General features: G+C 41.0%; 1 annotated feature.

Annotated features, from left to right (window-relative positions):
- Window positions 8,981-10,180: an enhancer, noted in NCBI's record as "BRD4-independent group 4 enhancer chr2:218125637-218126836 (GRCh37/hg19 assembly coordinates)". NCBI's record gives its function as "activates an origin of replication core promoter dependent on BRD2, P300/CBP, MED14 and CDK7 cofactors, and independent of BRD4, by STARR-seq in HCT116 cells {active_cell/tissue: HCT116}" and the evidence as "EXISTENCE:reporter gene assay evidence [ECO:0000049][PMID:35650434]".

The raw sequence follows: 10,499 nt of genomic DNA on the forward strand, positions 1-10,499 counted from the left end.
TATAATAAATGCATTTTTTACATTGTGTCCTAATACCACATACCAGCCCTGGTCAGAGATGTGGAGAAAGTGGCTTCCTGTAGATAACTGAGAGTCCACTGTGGTAGAATAGGGAGGGTGTACATTGAATCAGGGTAGGTACAGGCCTTTTAGAACTGGCTGAAATTGAGGAGTCAGTATCAGATGTTGAGAAGAAGATATTTCAAATAGAGAGAACCTTGGTGGATAAAATCGGATTTTGTCTCTTCAGCCCAAAGTCTACTACAACACAGACTTAAGGCATCTCTTGAAAACAAAGTTTCACATGGTATCTGGTTATGTTATTGGTCCAGGCTCTAGATTTGTACTTCAACAGCCCTTTCCCTCCACCTCCGAGTGTGGGATTACAAAGGAAAGCACCATAGATGGCTTCAAAGAACTTACGGCTTAGAGTGAAGACAGACGCACTAGTGTCTTGAGAAGTGACTCAGTAAGATAATTGAATTGTATGTACCAGAGGAATATGGTAGAAGAAATAAGTCATTCTGCCTGCACACATTAGGAAAGGCTTTACAGAGATATCTTGCCTAAACAAAGACTTGAAGGAATTTTTTGTAGATTAGGTAGGGAAGTGCTGTCCTGGTAGAAGAAACTGTTTGCGAAGACAGAGCGGTGGGGGTGTCTGATACGTTGGGACAATTGCAAGTGTCGAAAATGAAAATAAGAAGTAAAAAGCAGCATGAGGGGAAAAGGTGCTTGATTACAAATGCCTTATCAGTTATGCAAAGAGTATATATTTTTATGCTACAGTGTAGGGAATAAGGAGTCATTGGGAATTCTTCACCAAGACAGAAGGGATGCGTGTATCTCACTCCAGCAGCTTCCTTCCTAGTCTTCTTTCCGGTGGTTGTTTCTGCCTTTCTTACCAATGTGGCTGGTGGTGAGTGCCTTCTACAAATGCTACCTCTTGACCCCTTGGGGAGAAGGGATTCATATCAGTTGCCGGATTTGGAGAGACCAAGTCCCAGCTTATTTTTTTCCAACAGAGTTTTCCTTGCTTCATGGTGTCACAACCTATTGTTACTGGGTGCTAGGATACATTGGCCATATCTCTTGGGTGGAGAGCAGGGAAGACAAAATCTTCCAAAACAGCATAAACTCAGCTTCATTCTGTAGTGTCCATTTGACCCAAAGAAATCCCATGTCTCCATGCAAAGATAAAAGGAGGGAATGTTACCCTTTTCTATCAAGTTGTCTTTTTTCCTGCTGGAAGTGAGAAGGGGTGGAGGCTGTTGAGGGGAAAATGCATGCAGGAAAGCTCATCAGGTTCATCAAGTGTGCAACTCAAGCAAACCTCTATATAAGGGAACGGGATTCCAGCGTTCACTTCTTGGAGCATCTGCAGTCTCTAAAAGAGATTATCTTGGTTGACCCTTTCTTGATGTAGGCAAGAGAAATATACTTCATTCCCCACTTGACCTGCAAGTCATTAGTCTGATGATTGTCCCCACCACTCTTCCTTTATCTTCTGTTTTATAGAACTGGGCTCAGGCAGGAGAGATGGACCCCTCCTAGAGTATTGATGGTGAGAACGCTAGTTGTGAGACCACAGTAAAAGTTCCACTGAGCATCCTGTCTCAGAATAGCCACTTTAGAGGCAGTGTAGAAAATTGATGGAACCCTGTTAGGAGGCTATAACCATAGTCCACTGAGACATGATGGGAACAAGGCTAAGAAGGAGAGGAAAGAAAGTTAGGAAGTAGATTTGAAAGTGAAAATGATAGAGAAATACAGGAGGGTAAGAAAAATAGGTATATCTAAGATATTTAAACTTTTATTTCAGGAAGAGATTTCATGATGGTGTTAATCACTCAGATGAGAAATCTGAGGCTAGGAGTGTTAGGGGCAGAGTGGAGGAAGAGGCAAGGGAATGAAGAGAAGAGAGTTCAGTTTGGGGCATATTACAGTGGAGCTGCATGAGATAAAGTCTAGGCAGAAAGAGCTGCATACTCCAAAATATAGAAATATGAAAACGTAGAAAATATAAGAAAGGAAAAGAGGTGTGACAGAGGACATCCACATCTTCGATGAAAATGCAATGAGAACAGTTAACTGATTCTAGAGCAAAAGAACTCTATGTCATGAGATGGGAAAAACTTCTTTATCCTGAGGTGCTAGAGGAGGGTTGTGTGGCAAAGAATGTAACAGATGTTAAGAGTAGAGCTTTGGGTAGCTGCCAGATCAGAAAGTGTATAAAAGAAGGGTATAATGGGAGCAACAAAATGGAGCATGCATTCACTGTATCAGCAAATGCGTTGGGAGAGGGAATGTACTAGGATTAGGACATGGCATCTATCTGGTAAAATAAGAATAGGAGCTATGCATTTACTTGTTTGAAGATTGTGTAATCAGCCAGTTACTAACAGCACAAGACTCTTCTAGAGGATTTAGGAACACCTGAGCTGCACTAAAGGGGAATTGAGCTAAGGATGTCATTTTTCCAGAATCATGATCTTCAAAACTCAACACTAATGCCCGATTCCTTGGCCTGCTGTCTATGGGAAGGCCATGTTTAATAACATAAAGTCATTAACAAATGCTTTGGTACCTCAAGACCAGAGTGTGCCTGCATCTACCTTTCCCAAAGCCTATACTTTCTTGGGAAGGGTTCTTTTTGGATCTAAAAATATGTAGGGAAGGGATGTAATTATGCAAAATAGATAGCAGCATTTTCTTTCACTCAGGTATTTACTTTCACCTCCCATGTTTGCAGAATATTGCCACCCGCTCTTTGTTTTTAAATTTATTGTTCAATTTTTGTAAATTTTTATTTTTAAATAACAATAACTGTATGTGTTCATGGTGTACAATATATGTTGATATATGTATACATTGTGCAATGGCTAAATCAAGCTAATCAATATATGCATTACCTCATATAGTTATACTTTTTTGTTATGAGAACACTTAAAACCTATTCTCTTAGTAATTTTCAAGAATATAAAACATTGTTATTAACTATAGTCATCATGTTGTATAGTAAACCTCTTGAACTTATTTCTCCTAACTGAAATTTTTTATCCTTTGGCTAACATCTCCTTGATCCCACCACCTTACCCCACCCCTGCCCAAGCCTCTGGTAACCACCATTCTACTCTCTGCTTCTGTGTGTTTGTCTTTTTTATTTATTTAATTTTTATTTATTTATTTATTTTATTTTTTTTAAGAAAAGGGATCTCACTGTGTTGATCAGGCTGGAGTGCAGCAGCACAATCATAGCTCACTGCAGCCTCAGATTCCTAGGCTCCAGTGATCTCCCTGCCTCAGCCTCCCAAGTAGCTGGGACTACAGGTATGCACCACCACATCCAGCTAATTTTTAAATTTTTTTGTAGAGACAGAGTCTTGCTATGTTGCTCAGGCTGGTCTCTAATTCCTGGCCTCAAGGAATTCTCTCAGCTTGGCCTCCCAAAGTGCTGGAATTATAGATGTGAGCCACCATACCTGGCCAGTTTGTCCTTTTTAGATTCCACATATAAATGAGATCATGCAGTGTTTGTCTTTCTGTGCTTGGTTTATTTCTCTTAGCATAATGTCCTTCAGGTTTATCTGTGTTGTTGCAAATGACAGGATTTCCTTCTTTGTTAAGGCTGAATAGTATTCCATTGTTTATATAACCACATTTTCTTTATCTATTCGTCCATCTGTTGGTAAACACTTTGGTTGATTCTGTATCTTGGCTATTATGAACAGTGCTGCAATGAACATGGGAGTGCAGGTATTTCTTCAACATACAGACCTCATTTCCTTTGGATATGTACCCAGGATTGCTGGATCTTATAGCAGTTCTATTTTAAGTTTTTGAGAAACCTTCATACTATTTTCCATAATGGTTGTACTAATTTACGTTTTCACCAATACCCCTTTAGAATGAATGTTCATGTTTTCTCTTCATAGGAGGCCAATTGTTTCTAGTCTCATTGTCAAGATGGTGACCAAACTGTCATTTGATAATCCCTCAGCACGGAACCTGGTACCACTGTGGGTGAAGCAAGCTACAGAGGCCGGATCCTCTAATGCTGTCTATTATTGTTAGACCAGACTTCTGCAGCCGGCTTCACCCAAAGGGCTGCAGAGTCTCCCTCCTTCCCACTCTGCCTCTGCTAAACTCAATGTCTGAGTCCTTGAGCACTTCAGTGAAGGGGCTTGATGGAAGGTCTCAGATAATATGTTTATTATTTCCCAGACACCCTCCCCTATCCTCAGCTCCAAATCCATTTATCTCTCCCATAAAGTGCTTATTGACAGAGAACTTGAGTGCTCAGAATGATGCCAACTGAAGACAAGCCTCTCCAAATACAGCAGTCCTGTCTCCCCTTGATCTCCCCAGGCTGAATCCAAAACAGCTGTGTTTCTGCCTCAACCTCAAGGATTAGCTCAGGGACTCTCCCTCCTCCCACCACCAACTGCTTTCTTGGGTCGTTGATTTTTCAGAGAGAAAATGCCTGTGGTAGCGGCACGAAATAGCACTGCTCAGCCTCTAGAAGAGGTTTGCAAGCTCATTCAGCCAAAAAGTAATTATATTGAGCCTCCCAGAGAGCCTCTGCTCCACCCACATTTGCAAATACTCTTTTACTACATACTCTGTGTTTCTAAGTCTGTAATTCAGATTCTTCTTTTGTTAGTTAAGAAGAGTGTGGGTTTTCAGGTATGCAGCAAAAGAAAAAGAGTCCATAAATAATAGAACTTAAGGGAGAGGCAGAGCTTAACACACGCATTTGAGCCCAATGTCTGATTTCATGCAGGTTGCAGCCTGATTTCTCTTGGGTCATTTCTACTCTAGCTGGGCCTACTTGAATGATCTGATCTGGTTAAAGTTTATCATCCAGAATGAATTAGCTACAGTCTCACTTCTACAGGAATAGCAGGATCAAATGACTTCCAGCTTGATGTTTCCCTGAATTCTACCATCAAGCAAAACTGTCATTCATTCACGCTACAATTAGTAAGGCACTGTGCAAGAGTCACTTGGTTATAAAGAGAAATCCTCATCTTAAGGAGTTTACAGTCTGGAAAAGAAGACAAGAGGTTCAATGTGGCACTTTGTTATTAGGAGATGCAGAGGCCTGGATTCAAATTCCGCTCCTGCCCTGGGAAAGTCCACTTAACCTTTCTGTGCCTCAGTTTTCTCATGTGTAAAATGTGGCTCACAATTGTATTATCCCAAAAGGTTTCTGTGAAGATTAAAAGAGATAATATATGTAAAGCGTGTATGACAATGCCTGGCACCTAGTATTGCTTTTAGCTATTACTATCATAAGAGAGCTACAAATAGAAATGATATGTAGCAAAATACTGTGAGATGCTGTGTTAGTCCATTCTCATATTGCTATAAACAACTATCTAAGACTGGATAATTTATTTTAAAAAAAGATTTTATTGGTTCACAATTCCATAGGCTATACAGGAAGCGTAACTAGGGAGGCCTCAGGAAACTTACAATCATGGCAGAAGGCAAAGAATAAGCTGGGACATCTTCACATGGTCAGAGCAGGACAGAGAGAAGAAGGAGGTGCTACACACTTTTAAACAACCAGATCTTGGGAGAATGAACTCACTACACAAGAACAGCAAGGGAGAAATTCGCCCCCATGATCCAATCACCTCCCACCATGTCCCTCCTCTAACACTGGGGATTATTCAACATACGATTTGGGTGGGGACACAAATCCAAACCATGTCAGACCCAGAGGAGGATGAGGTGCTATTTATTTGGAGGAGGGCAGTATAAGGAGTGTGGTTATATTCCAAGTAAAAAGCTAAGCAACAGACAATAAAAACCTGAACTAGACTATACTATACCATACTATACTATATACTGTTATTAAACAAGGTTTATGGGAGGCCATTGTTTTGGATTAGCCCCTTTCACTAGGCCCCAGCAGACCAGACCAAACCAGAATGGAGTCACTCATGTTAAGTGCCACATAATCAATGTTCAGGTGCCACTGAACTCTAAAATGTGAGAGTTTTCCAAAAAAACAGGAAATTCACAGCAACCCATCAAAAGGGGTTCAATTTACCTGAGCCTGCATGATAAAGAAGTTCTCTCTGCTTTAACTCTATGAGAAAAGCAATTTGAAACCATCAATTCAAGTTTTGTTCTGTTTCTGCTTTCTCCAGCCCTTTTCTGCCTATAAAGCCAACTCTTTCTACTCAGCTTCTTGGAACATTTATTCTATTTTATAGAATGAGGTGTTGCCCTATGCTAGAATCACAAATAAAAGCCCACTAGACCTTTAAACTAGATTTGTTGTAAATTTCACTCTTGACAATACACTATACTAGAATAAAGATAAAGGGGCTGGCCAACTTTAAGAGATGTGGTGGTAGAATAAACAAGGGTTTGGCATGCATTAATTAGGGTGGACAGTTGATAAGAGCGAGTCAGAGGCTGTTCCAAGGGTCAAGTATCAGCAAGTTGAGGAATGATGGGGTCATGAATCAACTGGGAAGTCAGAAAGAAACAAACTTGTTTGTGGAAGAATGTGACCGGCTTGTTTTTGGTCATGTTGAGTTTGAGGCATTAGTGGAATATCCTGGTAGGAACATCTTGGATCTCTGAGACAAGTGTCCTCAAACTCCCGAATTATTGCCATACCTGTTACCTGCTTTTCCACCTTTCCCTCTTTTTTGATCAATCCAGCAGTTGGAAACTATATTCAAAGGAAAGGATGAATTCTGGAGATACTGAAATGTCATCAGCAAAAAGACATGGTTGAGGGTTATGATTAAATGTCCAGAGAGAAGGTAAATATGGAATCTTGGACGAGGTGTGCATTTAAGGTTCTAGAATAGAACCTTAATTCTTTCTAGAATAGAAAGAACCACCTAGCAAAAGAAGAAAAAGAACTGTCTCTTTCCAGGAAAACAATACACCAACCAGCCATCAGTGTAAGTATTTCAGGCTCATCAGCAATATGAATGTCACTAATGCATTGCTCTACATAAAAGAGAGTGGAGAGTAAGTTAGGGAAGGCAAAGGAGGCTGGGTGCGGTGGCTCATGCCTGTAATCTCAGCACTTTGGGAGGCACAAGTTCAGGAGATCAAGACCATCCTGGCCAATGTGGTGAAACTCCATCTCTACTAAAAATACAAAAATTACCTGGGCGTGGTGGCACGTGCCTGTAATCCCAGCTACTCGGGAGGCTGAGGCCGGAGAATCGCTTGAACCAGGGAGTCAGATGTTGCAGTGAGCTGAGATTACACCACTGCACTCCAGCCTGGTGACAAAGCGAGATTCCATCTCAAAGAAAAAAAAAAGGTATCTGTCAAGCCACCTTTGATTGAGTCATCAAACTATCATTCACTTTTTTTTTTTTTTTTTTGAGATGGAGTCTCACCCTGTCACCCAGACTGGAGTGCAATGGCGTGATCTCGGCTAACTACAAACTCTGCCTCGTGGGATCAAGTGATTCTCCTGCCTCAGCCTCCCAAGTAGCTGGGATTACAGGTATGCAGCATGACGCCCAACTAATTTTTTGTATCTTCAGTAGAGATGGGGTTTCACCATGTTGGCCAGGCTGGTTTTGAACTCCTGGCCTTGTGATCCACCTGCCTTGGCCTCCCAAAGTGCTGGGATTACAGGCATGATCCACGGTGTCCAGCCTTTTTTTTTTTTTTTTTTTAGTAAAAGGAATTCCATCAGTTCATTTGGAGTCTGATCAATGCTGGGCGAACAGATTAAATTCTCTTTAGAGTAGCAAATCTTAGGACTATAAGCTGAAGTAGAACTAGAAAGTCCAGCCATACCTAAGTCCAAGCTAGCCACTCTGGTCCTTTTCTCTGTTGTATTCCATTAAAGACCCTGATATCTGGGACTAGAGTTCCTGAGCACTCTATACCCATGACCTGGTCTGGAAGCAGCTCTTCTTAGCTGTCCTATCATGCCACAGTAACTCCGGGTCTCTGAGACAAGTGTCCTGAAACTCTTGAGTTCTCACATGCCCTTTCATCTTTCCCTCTTTTTTGATCAATCCAACCAATTCATGGCTTCCTGTTGAATGTTATTTTATAATAATATGGTTTATGTTATTAACACTCTTTAATGTTATTCAAGCCCATCTTCTATCATGTCATTGCTTAAAAAGCCTCAACAGTTCCTTAGGGTCAAGCCCACTGTGTGTGAGCTTCTTAACTGGGCATTTAGAATCCTCTCCAATATCCTCCACTACCTATGATTTATATTTTAGCCAAAATGGACCCTTTATAATCTTGAACTTCATTGCATGTCTGCACTTCTATACCAGTGCTGAATCCCAAACTGAAATCTGGTTCATATTTCATGAAACAGCTGGTTTTTACACCCACATCTTGAAATCTCTTTCTATTCCCTCACCTAGATACAAACTCTTCAAGGGGCCAGTAGAGTATAGTGGCTAAAATCTTGGATTCTAAAACCCAGCTGTCAAGGTTCAAATCCCAGCCACACCATGTGCTGACTGTGAGATCATATACAAGTCTCTTTTCACTTCACATCTGTTTCCTTATCTGGAAAATCAAGAATATTAATCAGATATTAAATGAGATAATATACATTTAATCTAGTCCGTGGAACCCTGTAAGCATGCAGCAACTGCGAGCTATTATGGCAGATGCTGTTGCTAGCCCACCCACATCCTCTTGGTATTTGTCTCTACATTCTCAACCTGTTTATAGAAAACATTCGTGACTCTCTGTAGTCAAGATAGCATGCTCAGCTCTCATACAGGGCAGAGCAGAAGTTTCTGAGATGTAATCAGTCTCCCAAGAAGCGACACTCAGACAATGACCAATGGAGAGTCAGTGGATGAATACCCCTTGTTAGGAATAACTCTGAACCCTATTCTAGAGTGTGGACAGCATAGAATCTCTTATTGTCTCCCAGACTTCCCCAGCAGGCTGTAACATCAGTTGCCCGCAATGGTAATTGGCTTGGCAGATACCTTCTGTCAGCTCCTTTGCCTTCCCTAACTTACTCTCCACTCTCTTTTATGTATTTCCTGGGATCGTTTCCCAAAACTACTTGGATTCTTGTCTCCGGGTTGGCTTCTGGAGGACTCTAAAACCATAACTGCTCTTATCACTACAGCTGACTTCTTTGAAACCATGAAAATACTGCTTTATTTGCATTCGTCTTCTGCTAGTTAGAGTCTACCTTCATAAAACCTAAAATCCAACAAAAAATTAAGACCAAAATACAAATATTTCTCACAGTACCTCTCACATAGAAGTTACTCAATCTGTATTTAGAGAGCAAAGAATAATGGGAGATCAAAAGATTACTCTGTGACTATAAAAATAGAGCGAGGACTATTGATTGGTTACTAAGAATATTTTACAAACTTTTATGGTTTGACACACCCTTTTAATGGTGGTATGTCTACCTAATATATCTGCACCTTCCCAAAATCCCCTCCCCTCGATGTCAGCATCAGGACTCCCCTCCTCCTCTAGCTAGATTTGAGAGACACTTGCCATTATCTCATCATTATTTTATCATGTTAATGTACTTGTGTAACCTTTTATATTTTCTAAATATGAAAAATATTTTACAGAGATTACATTTGACGCAGCTGCTTCCTGAAGACCTAGAGATCACTTTAATCTTACAAGCACATTCTTCAGATTGTCGTGTGGGTGGGTAACTTCCGCCAGACTTTTCTGGAGATGGCTAATCCAGCCGTGGGATGTGGTTTCTTCTAACAGCCAGTCAGGAAAATCTTGCTTCTCAAACTCCTGTCTTGACCCCTTCCTGAACTTTGCCTCCTGGATCTTGAGGTCTGCCTTCTGTGGAAGAGAAATACTAGAATCAATGAACTGTGAACTAGAGCCCTGGGATTATCAACAGGTAATGGTGATACTGCAGCAGTTGGCTGCATGAGATTTGTGATTACAGACTTGAGAGTGGCTGTCACCTTTGGTGCTACCAGAAGTAGCTTTCAAAACTGCCCTTCTGTAACAGAGAATTCTAGAAGGGTGGTCCATGGACCATCTATATTAGAAGGACTTCTGGCTCTGCTTCGCCTGCGGATTACTGGTCCTGCTCAGGCAAACTGAATCAGAATCACTTGTGAGGATGCTTCAATTTGCATTTGTAGACAAACTCCTCAGGTGATAAGGTGACCAAATTATCCAAGTTTTAGCATTGAAAGTCCCACATTCAGGAAAGCCTTTAGTCCTGAGACACTTGGTCACCAAGTGGATATGTCTTATGTACATTGAATTCTTAGAGCTGTCTTACAGACCCCAAGGTATGCCACACTAACACGGATGCTACTTTTACTCGGTAAGAATCTCTGAGACTTTGAGATGACTTTAATCCAGTGTGACATTGGGTGGGGAGCTCCCTCAGACATCGATCTTGATAAGATCCTTCCATGGGAACTTGAGTGTTTGAGAGACCCAGAGTATGTGTTTTGTTACTTTACTTTTCCTTTCTTTTGAACCTCATGTGCAAGGAGTTGAACTTGGTCTTGAGT

Source organism: Homo sapiens, chromosome 2, assembly GCF_000001405.40.
Source record: "Homo sapiens chromosome 2, GRCh38.p14 Primary Assembly".
NCBI lineage: Eukaryota > Metazoa > Chordata > Mammalia > Primates > Hominidae > Homo > Homo sapiens.